This window comes from Homo sapiens, chromosome 1 (genome assembly GCF_000001405.40).
Source record: "Homo sapiens chromosome 1, GRCh38.p14 Primary Assembly".
In the NCBI taxonomy this organism is placed as follows: Eukaryota; Metazoa; Chordata; class Mammalia; order Primates; family Hominidae; genus Homo; species Homo sapiens.
Window position 1 is genome coordinate 205,240,137 of NC_000001.11, and position 15,785 is coordinate 205,255,921.

At 51.1% G+C, this 15,785-nt stretch overlaps 1 protein-coding gene across 7 annotated transcripts in view, besides 1 other annotated feature; it reads left to right on the forward strand.

The window, feature by feature from the left end:
- TMCC2 (transmembrane and coiled-coil domain family 2) overlaps positions 1–15,785 on the forward strand; it is a 45,398-nt gene that overhangs the window by 12,191 nt on the left and 17,422 nt on the right. For 4 of the 7 annotated variants that reach the window (XM_005245686.4, NM_014858.4, NM_001242925.2 and 1 more), the window contains exon 2: positions 1,369–1,908. In XM_005245686.4, coding sequence (XP_005245743.1) covers positions 1,369–1,908 — 540 coding nt within the window. Of the gene's footprint in view, positions 1–595; positions 785–1,368; positions 1,909–6,359; positions 6,556–15,785 lie in introns of those variants that run through there. The other 3 variants (XM_047436073.1, NM_001375652.1, NM_001297611.2) reach the window with 2 other exon arrangements.
- Positions 11,625–11,822: a silencer, noted in NCBI's record as "fragment chr1:205220889-205221086 (GRCh37/hg19 assembly coordinates)". NCBI's record gives its function as "represses an EF-1alpha promoter that drives an FKBP-Casp9 reporter gene in an ReSE screen in K562 erythroleukemia cells {active_cell/tissue: K562}" and the evidence as "EXISTENCE:reporter gene assay evidence [ECO:0000049][PMID:32094911]".

Here is a 15,785-nt window from a genome sequence, read left to right on the forward strand (position 1 = left end):
TGAGGTGTCTCCTGGTCCTCCAAGTCTCACCCCTCCTTCCAACAGCTCCAAAGCTCTCATAGAGGGCTCAACCTGGCCGGATAAGCCGTCCCCTGACAGAAGCAGCTGTCTGGAATTATACCACAGTTGCTCGCCCTGGCAGGCCATCCAGCTGCCCCTCTGTGAGCAGTCTTGCCGGAAGAGCAGCTGGAGAATCTCAGCAACAGGGCTAAGAGGAAAGGCTGTGGCCTGGGCGGCACCGGGTTGCAGTGCCTCTATGCTTTGGATCTAAGGGGAAAGACACTCATTTGGATAGCTTGTTCTGATGTGTATGCTAAAGAATTGGTCACATTACTATGTCACAAGGTTTGCTCATAGAAGTAAAGTTTATTTCATTGCCAACCATATCAGGAATGAAATTGGTTGCAAATAACAGAAAATCATACTAGAGTTGTGTAGACAAAGATGGGTTTATTTCATGCAACAAGAATCCCAGGATAGATGTTCACAACTGGTTTGGTGGCTCCATAGACCTTCAAGTTCCCAGGCCTGTCCCTTGGGCTCCACCATCTGTGTGCAGACCCTCATCGTCAACCATGTCATCTTGTGGTTGCAGAATGGCCACTGCATCTCCAGGCACTACGTTCCCATTCCAGATGGGAAGATTTGGGAAGGGCCAGTGCCTTTATCAGGAAAGCAAAAGTGCTCCCAGAAGCTCTCACCTTGCTTTTCGTTGGCCCAAACTGTGTCATGTGGCTACTCCTAGCTGCAAGGGGAGTCTGATGAAGCAGGAATTTTTAGCAAGGTGAGTTAAGTCCTTGCAGTTTGGTTGGTAAGAAAGAAAAATAGATATTGGGTAGGCAATTAGCAGTGTCTGCTACAACAGTATAACTTGATTGTATGACCCTGATTTTACTGGGGGAATGTTGGAATTAGGCAACTTTGGAAATCGATGCTTGGTGGCCTGAAAGAACTAGTACAGCTTGAAGGGTCGTCTAACTTGGAAGGAGGGAAGGACTGGGGGTGGGGATCAATCTAGAGGGATACAACCCCATGAGCCAAGTGCTACCTGTGTATGCCATTAAGCCCCAGACTGAAGCCCTGAGAGCATCATTCCTAGAAACTCTGAACCTTCATTTTGATTAGGAATGTCCCGTGGAAAACCGTGGGGGCACACTTCTTTCGGAATGAAAGGATGGGTCTGGGTTGCCACCTTTTCGCAAACTGACCCTTTATGCACGACGGGCCATCCACAGAGATCTTCCAGGTTCAGATGGCTGCATTAGCTATGCCAGTCTACCAAGGACAGACCCTTCACCTTCACCCTCCTACTGACTAGGCAATCAAGAGCTTTCCACTCACCAGGGTTCTTCATCTCTCCCCCTTAAGAAAATCCAGCAGCTGTCAGAGGGCTCCATGTTTGGCCACGGTCTGAAGCACCTGTTCCACAGCCGCCGTCGGTCTCGGGAAAGGGAGCACCAGACGTCTCAGGATTCCCAGCAGCATCAGCAGCAGCAGGGTATGTCCGACCATGACTCCCCAGATGAGAAGGAGCGCTCTCCGGAGATGCATCGCGTCTCCTACGCCATGTCCCTGCACGACCTGCCCGCCCGGCCCACCGCCTTCAACCGCGTGCTGCAGCAGATCCGCTCCCGGCCCTCCATCAAGCGGGGCGCCAGCCTGCACAGCAGCAGTGGGGGCGGCAGCAGCGGGAGCAGCAGCCGGCGCACCAAGAGTAGCTCCCTGGAGCCCCAGCGTGGCAGCCCTCACCTGCTGCGCAAGGCCCCCCAGGACAGCAGCCTGGCCGCCATCCTGCACCAGCACCAGTGCCGTCCCCGCTCTTCCTCCACCACCGACACTGCTCTGCTGCTGGCCGACGGCAGCAACGTGTACCTCCTGGCTGAGGAGGCCGAAGGCATCGGGGACAAGGTGAGATGGGCCTTCTGGGGCAGGGGGAGACTCAGAGGCAAGGGCCATCCGCTGAGGGGCCTTGAGACCTGGGGAGCTGAGCCAGGGGCCCTCCCTGGCAGATACTGACACCCCACCGTCTGCAGAGTTATCTACCTTGGTTAAAGGAGTCGGGTATGACTAGGCCAAAAACAAGAGATGATTCCCAGGATGGCTAATTTTTGTTTCCTTAGGGCTGTTTTTCAAAATTGTGTTTTGCTCATGCTGATATTAATGTTGACTTGTTTTCCTTAAATGGGCTATCAAGAGGCAATAGGTATAGTAGTTTAAAGCACAGACTGGAAGCAACTCTGGTTCTGCCACTTACTCAGTTAACCTCTTTGTGCTTGTTTCACCAATTGAAAATGAGGATAATAATAGTACAGTTGTAGGACTAAATGAGTTAATATATGTAAAATACTTGGAATAGAGCCTGGCATAGTATCATCTTTACTATTGGCACCAACCAAAGAAGATAGGGGATCCATGAAGGGTGATTTGGGAAGGAGAAAAGCTAGTTTAGCACTTCATGAATTTATATATTCGTTCTTTTATTCGTGTAACAAGTATCTATTGAATTCTTATGTTGTGCTACAAGAATGAACAAGCCAGTGTTGCTGTCCTTGTGGAGCTCACTCTAGAGGGGGTACAAGTGGGTGAATGGACAGAGAGATGGGAGCTGCTGTGGGAGCTTCAAGGGAGAGGGGACTTGAGGAGAGAGCGAGGAGCTGGCAAAGACCTGTTTGAGGAAACCATTGAGCTGAATCTTGAATAATTTAGCCAGGGAAGAACTGGGAGAGGGGAAGGGGGAAGAGAGGGCATAGTATGTACAAAAGCACACAAGCTGGTGCTAGGGGCTACTGGGGGTTCATTATGGCCAGAGCATCTAGCACTTTTGGGGATTGACAGGTAGGCAGAGGCCACATCACAAAAGGCCTTGCCATGTTGATTCTGGGAGTAGTGTGAAGCTATCAAAGGGTGCTAGGCAGGAAACTGGCAGGACGAGGTTCCTCTAGGTCTCAATATAAAGAGTAGATTGGGGCCAGGCACATGGCTCACACCTGTAATCCCAGAACTCTGGGAGGCCGAGGTGGGTGGATCACTTGAGGGCAGGAGTTCAAGATCACTCTGGCCTACATGGTGAAACCCCGTCCCTACTAAAAGTACAAAAATTAGCCAGGCATGGTGGTGGGCGACTGTAATCCCAGCTCCTCAGGAGGCTGAGGCAGGAGAATTGCTTGAACCTGGGAGGCGGAGGTTGTAGTGAGCCAAGATCGAGCCACTGCACTCCAGCCTGGGAGACAGAGCGAGACTTCGTCTCAAAAAAAAAGAAAAAACCAACAAAAAAAATCAGTAGATTGGGAAGGGAGTGCAGGACGGGAGTCAAGGAGACTTTGGAGCTAGTGCAGTAGTCTAGGCTGCAGCAGTGGGGATGGAAAGAAGGCGCCAAGTGCAGAAAACATTTGGAAGTGAAAGTCAGAAGTAGTAGGTGAGAAAGTGAATAGGAGGCAAAGGAAAGGGAGGCGTAGAGGATGATTCTAAGGTTATGGGCTTAGTGGCTTTAAAAATGGGGGAATTCTCTAGTTGAGGAATCACAGGAGAAGGAGCATGTTTTGGGGGGAAGGTGATGAGTTCAGTTTTGGACCTGTTGAGTTGCAAGTGCCTTTGGGAGCTGTCCAGCTAGGGAGGACCAGCTGGCAATTGGGTCTGTGGGGTAGGGGCCTGGGCCAGGGCCAGTGCTCTGGGAGCTGGCGCTGAGGTTGAAATCATGGGTGTGGGTGTGATCTTCAAAGGAGGATGTGTCGAATGAGAAGGAGGCTGTGGACAGACCCAGCTGACATGTAAGTGACAGGCCAAGCACCAGGAGCCCGAGAGAGAGCAGTCAGATGGATAGAAGTAAACTTGCAGCAAAGCAAAAGGAAAATGAGCTTGAAGGAGGAGGAAGTAATCAGAGTGAAATGCATAGAAGGGGCAGGTCACATCTGGGTTTGGAAATGTGCACAGGCAGTAGCAAGCAGTGGCTGTCATTGGGAACCATGGCCTGAAGCCAGTTTCTGTGGATTAAGGAGAGGGTGGAAGTGAAGGCAGGTGTGTAGCTTGGCTGGGAAGAAGGAGGGTATCAGGTGGAGGCAGTCTGGTTTTGTTGGTTTTTTTAAGTTGGGAAGCACCTGAGCCCACCTCCATGCTGGCTGGAGAGGTCCCTATTAGGCAGAGATCGAAGATAGCAGTGAGGAAGGGGAATTCTCACTGGGGTGAGGTCAGTGAGTAGGTGAAAGGGTGTGAGATCCAGAAGTCAGCATCGTCCTTGGTCACAAAGAGTCACCTCTGGGAGGCAGAAATGAATTCTTACTTTGTTTTTATTTTCTATGGGGGAAGAAACCAAAGGTGCAAGTGTTTATTGAGAGCAGGAGGGGAGGTGGGAAGGGCTGGCTTGAGGAGGGCAGTAAAGCTTTGGCTTGGGGCAGAGCAAGGCTCTGAGCAGGAACTCACGGGTGACCTGTCTGGTGTTGTAGAGGCTGGTAATTTGTGCTGGCAGCACCCTAGTGGTTGCGATTTGTTTTCTCTCTAGTGGTCCTAGCCAGAGGGTAGGAACAGAGCTGAACGATTATCAGGCTAATCCAGGGTTGGGGGTTGCTGGGAGGGCATGTAAGGGTGACAAAGGAGTTGGGGGTTTGTTTGGGTCAGAGAATGCTCAAAAGGTTGGACCTTGAAACCTCGGCTAGCAGAGAAGGAGGTGGGGATAGGAGAAGGCTGATGAATGTGGAGAAAAGGAGATGGGGGTACTGAGGGAATGAGGGAGCAGGTACATTAAGAATAAAGAGGAGTGAGAGAGACAGGAGAGGGCATTGGAGTTTACAATTTGGGGGGTGGGATAGGGAAGACAAAGGTCAGAGTATACTCATAGAGCATGACAGACAAGGAATGAATGGAAAGATAATTTGCAGTGGCAAGAGCTGAGAGGCTAGGTTGTGGGATGGGCTGTCCACATGACATGGAGATGCCCCCTTGGACAGTGGTCAGGAAGGAGGGCAGCAGGTCTCTTTGATGACTGGAGGGTGGGGGAGAAGAGTGCAATGGCAGGGACCTCGAAGGCCAGGCTGAAGCAACACTGAGTACAGTAGAATGCTGGTCCCGTCTCCAGAGGGCACAAAATGAGGGAGGAAGAGGAAGAAAAAATCACTGCGATTAATGAGGGCTCCGGGGCAAGTGGAGCTGCAGTAAGAGCCTGCAGGGGCCCAAGTGCTAGACTATGGGCAGGAGGCAGCTTGTTTGTTGTGGAAGGAGGACTCTGGAAGGTCCAGTGGGAGGGCGGATGAAAGAGAAGACAGTTCAAGTGGAAGTGAGAGGAGACATGATGGAAGACCAAACAGTTCTACATTTGGGGGATGTGAGGCCCCGTGGATTTTCCAGCGTCAGAGTTCCAAGGGAAACTCAGATATAAAGTTGTTTTTACCTTAGATGATCACCAGAGCAGATCCATCTCCACGTACAGTTTTAAATTGTCCTCTCATCAACACAGACTGTTTCTCAAGTTCTTGTGCATGTTTACATTTGAAAATGTTTGGATGTTCATTCATTCAACAAGCATTTGTGTGTATGCCGTGTGCCTGGCACTGTATAGCAGCTCAGGTTTGGTTTTGCACTTTTCTAACGTAGAAAGTGCTTTTGTAGACATCATTTCATGAATTCATTAAAGCAATCCTGTGAGATAGCTAAGCCAGCTGAAGATATCCCAATTTTTTTTTTTTTTTTTGAGAGAGTCTTACTTTGTCATCCATCTCGGCTCACTGCAACCTCCACCTCCTGGGTTCAAGTGATTCTCCTGCCTCAGCCTCCCGAGTAGCTGGGATTACAGGCACTCACCACCTCGCCCGGCTAATTTTTGTATTTTTAGTAGAGATGGGGTTTCACCATGTTGGCCAGGCTGGTCTCAAACTCCTGACCTCAGGTGATCTGGCTTTCCTCAGCCTCCCGAAGTGCTGTGAACGGGGCGTGAGCAGGGCATCTGGTTCAGAAGCTGTTGAACTACTCTGGGGGTGGGGCGGAGTACCTGTATTCTGGATTGGTTTCAAAGATCAAGCCACAAAGGTTTCTGATGATTCTATGTGGGCATGACAGAAAGAGAGAAGTCAAATGTGGTTCACAGATTTGCGGCCTGGCAGCCAGAAAGAAGAAATGGTCAATAACTGAGTCAAGGAAGATGGCAAATAGAATGAGTACCTGGCAAGGGGTGTGAGGTGGGGGCGGGGGGTGGGGGCAGAAATCAGAGCTAGGTTTGGGGTACCTTCAGTTTGAAGTGGCTATTAAACATCCACGTGGAAATGCCAAATAAGCAGTCAGCTGTACGAGTCTGGAGTTCTGGGGAGAGATCCAAGCTAGAGGCATAAATTTGGGAGTTGTCAGCATATAGATAGTATTTAAAATGATGGGACTGAACCATTTGCAAGCCTAGCCTCCACTGGGGAGAAGTCTGTTCTCAGAGTGAGGAGCTCTGCACGCGTTGGCTAAAAGGGTGGCGTGGCTTTGTGAAATTGAGAGCTGGAGGAGCCCAGCAGAATGAACCAGGTTGTTCAGCCCTTAATGAGCAGACACTCTGCATGTAGAGGCAGCCAGGCCCACCTCTCATGGGTGAGTCAATGAATACATTTTAAAAATCAAATTAGAAAAATCCTGTCAAGCAGGAGTCTCTGGTATGCAGCTATTTTATGAGGAGGGAAAACGTGAACCTTGCTGTCTTTGGTTGCCTAGGGCTCCCATGAAGACCTCCTGAGCAGGGGGAAGACGTTGGGGTGGGCAGTGGGCACTGTCGGAAGCTGGTGAAGGACTGTGGATGTTTGCAGGGGCCTGGGGGAAGTGGGGCAGGCTCATTAGCTGGGGAGCTTCTCTGTGGGGCTCTGCCATGTGGCTCACTGTGCCCAAGATATCCAGATGGGAGGGAGGAACTCTTTTTTTGCTGCTTATGGAAGACGAGACCCAGACACTTTGGGTGACCTGATGAGGGGACGGTTCCCTGGGTTCAGGGTGATCATGGGGGAAATGGTTGTTCTTGTGACTATTTTATATCCTTCTTTAGAACCCTCAGCTTTGTTAGGTGTATGGCCTGGTTGATCTTTATAACATACCTGTGAAGTTGGCAGAGCAGGTGTTATCTCCATTTTACAGATGAGTAGACTAAGGCCTAGAGGAAAAGAGACTGCTTGCCTATGGCACCCAGCTAGGTCTTGGCAGGGAGACAAGGGATCCTAGTCTGTACCCAAGACTCATCTGAGAGGTGACGTCACTGAACCCGGCTGGGGACCATTTTATGCAAAGTCTATGGAGAGCAGGTTTGCCTCAGCCCGAGTGGGATGATTTTATCTCTTGGTTGCCATTTCCCCTTCAGTTGCATAGATTTCCTGACCTGGAGCTGTCCTTCCAGGAATGGGCGTGGCCCTGGGGGTCCTGAGGAGAGAAAGGTTGCTTCCCTGTCACAGAGGAAAAAGGTCTTCCAGCCATCGGTAAACCCTGCTCTGTCAGCTGACTCCCCCAGACCCAGAGGCCCTGGGCTGGTGTGAGAAGCAGTAGTGGTTCTGCCCTGATCTCTGGGCATGAATAGGAGGTATTCTTCTCTCCCTAGTAAACACAGCCCCACATGCTCTCTGCAAGATCCCTGGCGGTTACTAGCATCTATTTTTAATTCATAAGCCTCCCCCACTCCCCCACACCCCCTGCCATTGTTTAGAACTCACCAGCTGGCTTTCGGACCAGAGCAGCCCTGGCAGGGTTGAGTCCAGCCCTGGCGGGGTTGAGTTACCGAAACACCCTGGAGGCAGCTAAATTTCCTCAGCTGTCCTGGAGAGGCTCACCCCAGCCCCACCCCAAGAAAGTAGGAGACCTCAAGCCCCAAAGGGAGCAGGGTGTGACGGGGGACAGATAGGGGCTCACGGTCCAGGGAAGCAGCTCAGCCTTGGTGATGGTAATTTGGCTGTTGGTTATTCCTGCTAGATCCACTTAGTTGTCTTTGAGGTTGTGCCTTCAATTACTTCCCTGTTTAAAAACAAAAACAAAAACAAAACATTCTTGGCTGGGCAAGGTGGCTCCTGCCTGTAATCCTAGCACTTTGGGAGGCTGATTTGCGTGGATCAGTTGAGCCTAGGAGTTTGAGACCAGCCTGGGCAACATGGTGAGACCCTGTCTCTACAAAAAGAATTTAAAAATTAGCCGGGTGTGGTAGCGTGCACCTGTAGTCCTAGCTGCTTGGGAGGCTGAGGTGGGAGGATCACTTGAGCCCACGAGGTTGAAGCTGCAGTCAGGCGTGATTGCACCACTGCACTCCAGCCTGGGTGACAGATTGAGACCCCATCTCCATTTTAAAAAAATCGTCATCTCAGCCTCGCCATTCTGCTTTCTAGTATGTATGCGACACAGAAAAGTAACTGCTCTCTATGTCTTAGATTTGTAAAGTGGGGAAAAAGTTGTCATCAATTGTGGGTGCACTTGGGCATTGGCAGGTGATTAGAGAATGCAGGTTTTCCATCCATGTGTTGCCTTAACCTCTGGGAGGCACAAGCCCCGGGGACTAGAAAGGGAACCACTGGTTATACGTCCAGTGGAGATGGCCTTGGGCCACCTGGCTCCTCAGAAAACAGATGAGGTCCCCACCCTCTTCTCCCTCTTCTTTTTTTTTTTTAACAGCAGTTCCTGGAAAACCTAGGGTCAGAGGGTTGTATTTCTCCTTCTCTCATCTCTCCCAGGCCTGGTTAGGCATCAATCCCTTCTCTCCTTGTTCAGAACCTCTCCCCAGCTGATCCCTGGGCTTGTGCATGGAGTGTCAGGAAGGGGACGCAGCACAGGAGTGCTGGATTTACAGCCAGCCAGCCCCTGACTGTGTCCTGCTCACCCCTTCCCCTCCTGCAGTGTGGCTGAGAAGCAGCACGGGGCAGAGCTGGGAGGGCTTCTGGACAGCTTCAGGAGACTCTGTGGAGGTGCTGGGGACAGGAGGACTCTTATGACAGGCCCCACTTTGAGAGCAGGCAGGAAGGAAGAGAGGGCCAAGATCTCCCCAGTCGTGCTGCAGGTGAAGTGAGGAGGGTGGAGAGATGACAACGTCCTGACTGGATGCTTCCCTGTGGCCTCATGGTGTTATCTCCAGGCTCCAGACAGGGAAACCAGTGGAGTTCAGCCCATCACCTAAGCGAGAGCAGACTCTGAATGCCCTGTGCTCTCCGTCCACTCCCACACCAGATTTATCCAACAAGATTTCTTCTCTGCCCCAGCATAAATAAGCACCCCTGTTTACTCTGAAGGATGGTGAGTGAGGGGCCCCCCCAACCCCTGGCTCTTGCCAAGAAGACAGATCTTGGCAGCTGCCCAGGGGCCTTGGTTTGTTTATGTCTGGGAGTCTGCTGGTTCAGAGGTGGGTGGGGCGGGCTCTGCTGAGAGAGGTTTCCAAACATGACCGCTCAGCCAGCCGGCCGTGGGGGCCCCTGGTATAACTGAACTTGTAGGCCAGGTTGCATGGGAGGCTGAAGGGGCCCAGACGGGCCACTCTGCCTGTTCACACGAATGCATCCACCTTCTGAGCACACCACCACGCAGGTACATGCGCCAGCCTCTGCCGGCCTGCCCTTCCTCACACCCAGGAGTGGTGGAGGGCAACTGCCTCCTCTGTTCCCCTCCTCCATCCCATCTCATCTCTTCTGCCCTTCTTTCTTCCTCTCTGCATGGAAAGGTCCCTTGGGCAGAGGGAGAGCCAGAGGCAGCCAGACCAGCAGCCTCAGAGGAGCCTTTCAAGGCCGTGCCTGTGCTGCCAGTGGCTCGCCAGGCCAGGGCAGGGCAGCTGTGTGATTTGCCATGAATTGCTGCTCCCTGTCTCAGTGACTCAAAGCCCCTATTACCCAGAGGCCTTGGGGTCCCAGCACAGCTGTATATCCTCTTGTGCCTGGAGATCCGAGAAGTTTCTTCCTTTAGTCTGATTTGAATTCCTCATGTTCAGGTGAAGCCCTTGCCTTGTAGGGGTCCTGTCTGATTAGGAGAGGGGCCCATAGTGAGGACTCTGTTTCTGACCTAAAGCTCTGACACCAGAGATCATAAGCTGCAGCGTCCTCTTGACTTTTCAGACAGAATCAGCCACCAGGTAACTGGCCTCCAGAATTAGCCTTTATGCATCTTTTCCCCACTAACACCCACTGACTTTCTTTCTAGATTGAAAATATCGGCCGGGCACGGTGGCTCGTGCCTGTAATCCCAGCACTTTGGGAGGCCGAGGTGGGTGTATCACCTGAGGTCAGGCGTCCGAGACCACCCTGGCCAACATGAGGAAACCCCGTCTCTACTAAAAATACAAAAACTAGCCGGGCGTGGTGGTGGGCGTCTGTAATCCCAGCTACTCGGGAGGCTGAGACAGGAGAATCGCTTGAACCTAGGAGGTGAAGATTGCAGTGAGCTGAGATCGCGCCATTACACTCCAGACTGGGCAACAAAAGGGAAACTCCGTCTCAGAAAAAGAAAAAAAAGAAAATATCCAGTATTCTCCAGATTAGCTCTGGCATCTGGGAGTACAGAAATCACCAGGATAGAGGGGGCAAAATTAGATAACTTCCAAGTTACCTAGCCAAGATGTAAGGTCATGCCTTGTTGACGCCTTTGTCCCTAAGCTCAGGCAAAACTTGGTGGGAGACAAGCTGTCTGTCTGCAGACACAGGTGGGAGAGGCCAGCCAGGTATCTGCCTGGGCTTTCCAAGCTTGCCCAAGGGGAAGGTGCACTCAGGTTTCAGGTGTCAGACCCCTATGCCAGAGCTGGTAGCAGTCAGCAAGAGGAGCTGTCTGTCATCGGGTTCCAGACGGCAAGGAGCCGGCACTGATGATGTGGGCTGGGTCATGGGAGTTGGCTCAGGTCTCCCCGGCTACCCAGCACGTTCTTCCCTGGATCTGCCACATCCCTGAGATGAGAAACGTGACCCCAGTCCCCTCTGGGGTGCCAGATGAGGCAATGGATATACAGCATCATTAACCTGATCCCTGCTTCTGCCTCTTCTTTTCATAGGCATATTTTGGGCTTTCTCTGTATATCCCACAGAGCAGAGGGCGCTGAAATAGAAGTAAAACTGAATGACTGAATGTACACACCCTATTGCATTCCTTCTAGGCTCCTAGGGAATCAGAAGCTCCCCTGAGCTGCAGTAGGGAGTTGGGGGAAGTGAGTGTCATTTCTGGGGACAGCCTTTTCCTACCTCCCTTCTCTGTCCAGGGACAGGCTCTTGGACCCCTAGCCCATTTCCCAAATCTTCCAGAGGCCAACCTAGAGGCCTCCTGCCCGCTGCTGCTTTTGTCCTCTTTGATCCCCCTCCAGGTCTGATTCTGGGAGTTCTCACTCTTCCTTTCCATTTCCTCTTCCTTACAGTTCTCCAGATACCCCACCACTGGGACCCTAGAGCTGAGCTAGTGTCCATAGCTAGTGAATAATTCATCAGGCTCAGCAAGAGCTAAATTAGACCCAAGGTGATACTGTGACCAGGAGGCCTCCTTTGGGCATCTGGAAAGGCGAATCCTGCCCTGGAAAGACAAGTGCTCTGTAACATTAACTTCATTGTATAAGGTTTCTTCATTGCCTGAGAAGGTAGCTTCAGATCCAAATATAATCTGGGCCCTGTGCCTGTCCACTGACTTCTCAGGGGCTCAATGGCTTATGGGCATGCCCCCCAAGAGGTGCCACTCATGTCCTTTTGAAAGCCTTCCTGGCATCAACAGTCAGCTGAACAGCATGCTACAGTTTGCAGAATGCGTTCACACACATTTCTCGTTTAGTCACGTCAGCTCATGGTATGCTCTGAGCCCTTGAGTCAGCAGGAGCACACCAGAATTCGGTGTTTCAATCCTCTGCTTTTAGAAAGGAATTATTCCAAATTATTCCTGGCAAATAGGGTGGGGTAGAGGGTGCTCTGCTTCCTAAAAGTTGCCCAAAAAGGAGATGTGGCTTCCTCTCCGGGTCACTTTCTCTTGGGCCTGTTCCCAGTAAAACCTCCTCCAGGGAGAGTGACTATAAAGGCATGAAATCATCCGTCTTTCCTACCTGCCTGGTACAGATTTTGATTTGCCTAAAAGTGACCTATGTAAGTGGTTCTGTTCACTGCCCAACATCTGGGCTCATGTCTGTGCCCAAGAAGGACTACCTAAACAGGAGTGTCTGTGGCATTAGATGGGCAGAGGACCAGCAGGAGAGATGGCATACTCCCTCCCTGGAAGCAGCTGAAAGGTGCCCTGGTGTGTGCATGTGGGTGCTGCCCTGCAGCTTCCTCCACTCTGGCCTGATCTGTCTGCTTTCCCAGCTCACACAGCTGTGCCTATTCCTCCACGTATTCCTAGGAAGCATGCCCACCTGGGTTGCTGCTGTTCACGCTGAAGAATATTATCCTTCCTCTCGCATTTCCCTGGGGGTTAGCAGAGCTCTTTGGTCACATGGGTTTCTAAGAAGATGCACCTTCTGGCTTGATCTGAAAGTGAATACTTGGGGAGGGAACCTCTGAAAGATGACCATTTTCCAAACCTCCATTTCCAAGCAGGCTTGGTGAGCATAAAAGAAGCCGCCAGCCTTTCAAAGAGGAGTCCTCACTGGCAGATTTTCACAGCACATTTGGGGCCTGAAATTTTTTTAAGGCCTCACCTTGTATTCTAAGCTACTAAATTTAGCTACTTTTTAGCGTGGTTCTTTGCTCCTAAAGCCTATGACTTCTCCAGTTTCCCACCCTTCAAAATGTGTGGTTTGTGATTTTTTTTTTTTTAAGAGAAAGAAAAGTAGGCCAGGTGCAGTGGCTCATGCCTGTAATCTCAGTGATTTGGGAGGCCAAGGCAGGAGGATCACTGGAGGCCAGAAGTTCGAGGCCAGCCTGGGCAACATAGTGAGACCTTGTCTCTCTTAAAAAAAAAAAATAATAATAATAAAACTAGCTGAGTGTGGTGACATGCACCTGTAGTCCCAGCTACTTGGGAGGCTGAGGCAGAGGATCATTTGAGCCCCCCAGAGTTTGAGGCTTCCGTGAACCATGATCACACCACTGCACTCCACCTTAGGGGAAAGAACGAGACCCTGTCTCTACAAGAAAAAGCAAGAAAAATAAGATGATTTTAAAAGGGCAGTGGGGAGAGAACGGAAGAATAACAACAAGGCAAAGGAAGAGAAAATAAAAAAAATAAGATTTAAAGAATACTAAAGAAAGAAGGGGCATGGCATAAAAATTAAGGGAAGAGAAAGAAGGATGTGGAAGAAAAAACTAAACTAAGGGGAACCCAGTAAAAGGGCTGAGACCTTCCAGACGTGCAGAGAGAAGAGCCTGTGCCCAGGACCTGGGCTTCCTTCCAGTCCACCCTTCTCAGATGACAAGAGCCTATCTGTCACCCCCGCCTCAGGCTTAACTTGGAAGGGTGGAAAGAGTGAAGCCAGAGACCCCCTGCCACAGCTCAGCTGCCCATCCTGTGAATTGATAGTGACCACTCTGTGTCACTGAGATGTGGCCTCCATCTCTGCCAGGCCAGAGAGGAGGCGCCCCAGGGATGTCCAAGACTGACCAAGAAGTGCAAGTGATGTGGCTTACTCCACAGCTCCTTTTCTTTGCAAAAGAAGAGCTGCTTTGCAAGTGGTGTCCTTTCAGAGCCCACTGCTTTAGTGCCCTTGGCAGCTTTTCCCAGGTGTGCCTGCAACTCTCTTTGCTCCTGATGGCAGCTACTTCTTTGGCTTTTTCTGTTTCAGACCAAGTCTTCCAGGTACTGTCTGGAATACTGTGGTTTGTGTATGCATGTGCACATACATCCATGGTGAGGGAGCTTCAGGACCAGTCACCTATTTCAGTAAAACTTAGAAAGTGCCATGTGTTTGCACGAGGGCCCTGGGAGATAATGGTCCTATGTACCATTTGCAGCTAGGAGAAGTGAGACTCAGCTGCACAGAGTCTCCAAGGCTTGGCTCATTCACCCTCTCCTCCATCTCCTGATGCCACTGGTCTCACTCTCCAAGGCCGCCTCGTCCAAGCTGCTGCTTTGTAGTTGCTCCTGCCTCCTCACAGTTGTGAAGCGGCACGGACAGAACATGGAAGCCGCACAGCTAGCAAGTGGCAGGGTGTGGATTTTAGACCAGGTCTTCTGACTCCCAAGCACTCTGTGGGCCACTGAAAGGCTCATCCAGTGCCCAGCGAGCCCAGCTCTGGCACATCTTCCTGCCAGACACATTCACCTTAACCCCCTGTCTTTACGCCGTCCTCCCATCACATTTGTGGAAACAGTCTCAGCGCCTACAGTGACTTGACCAAGGTCACTTAGAAAGCATGGAAGTGAGTCTCACGCCCAGGGCTCTACAGGGCCTTTCCCACCATGCCACCATGCTTTGGGCTATCTGTTCCCCACCCCCACCACAGGAAGCTCTGCATCCTTGGCAGATTTGGGAACACGTCTCATGTATAAAGACGAGCAGGCTTAGAAAAGCATTGCTCTGCTGCTAGCTTGCCTGGCAGACATCTCCCTGGTTCTTGTTTGCTACTTTTCTCCTAGTGAACTATTGGTTCCCTCCTGAACCCCTGTTTTCCTGCTGTTCAGTTATTGTGCTGATGGGTAAGCTGCTCTTGGAGTGGAGCTATAACCTTCCATTAGGGAGCTGCCAGGTGCCTGTGTTGGGGGCAGCTCTCCCCAGTTCATTCTGGTGGTGCAGCATGGCCTTGCAGGAAACTCTTTCTGTTGCTTCTGAGCCCTCCTGATCCCGGGAAGCACAGAGAGACCTACCATGCAGAGTGAACCCCAGGGCTCTCAGCTCACTCGGCCCCTCCCCACCTGTCTCCTGCTGCCACTGCCTTCTCTTCCTTTTCCTCTGCTTAATAAGAAAAAGTTTAAAATGTTAGCTTGGGCTGGGCATGGTGGCTCACACCTGTAATCCCAGCACTTTGGGAGGCCAAGGCAGGTGGATCGTTTGTGCCCAGGAGTTCAAGGTCAGCCTGAGCAACATGGTGAAACCCCATCTCTGCAAAAACTAGCTAGACATGGTGGTGCACACCAGTAGTCCTAGCTACTTAGGTGGTTGAGGTGGGAGGATTGCTTGAGCCTGGGAGGTCAAGGCTGTAGTGAGGTGTGATCGTGCCACTGCACTCCAGTCTGGGTGACAGAGCAAGATCCTGTCTCAAAAAAAAAAAAAAAAAAAAATCCTAGCTTGGTGGGGCCTAGCCTGGAGCGGGCAGAGAAGGGGTATCTTGGCCGGGTGCAGTGGCTCATGCCTGTAATCCCAGCATTTTGGGAGGCTGAGGCGGGTGGATCACGAGGTCAAGAGATCAAGACCATCCTGGCCAACGTGGTGAAACCTCGTCTCTGTACTAAAAATACAAAAATTAGCTGGGCGTGGTGGTGCACGCCTGTAGTCCCAGCTACTTGGGAGACTGAAGCAGGAGAATCGGTTGAACCCAGGAGGTGGAGGTTGCAGTGAGCCAAGATCGCGTCAATGCATTCCAGCCTGGTGACAGGGCAAAACTCCATCTCAAAAAGTGAAAAAAGAAGGGGTATCTTGAGTATGAGAAGACCAAGCTGTCTTTGTTTCTACCTGAGACAGAACTGCAGTGGCTGGACTGCCTTTCATGGCAGCTAAATGAGGTAGATCATTTCATTGTTTTACGATGTCAGTATTGAGGGAGGATCAGTCTTATGCTAGGCACAGTGAATGGTCCAGATGAACATAAGATCTGATCCCTGCCTTATCATTTAATAGGGGCATAAGACCTATTTACAAATAACCCTTATGCAAGAACAGTGCTTGGTGCGAAAATATAAAGTCAAGATCCAGTACCATAGGAGGGGGATCATTTGCAGAAGTAGGGGAGCTGCCAGAAGTGTTCCCTGGCCCTACAGGT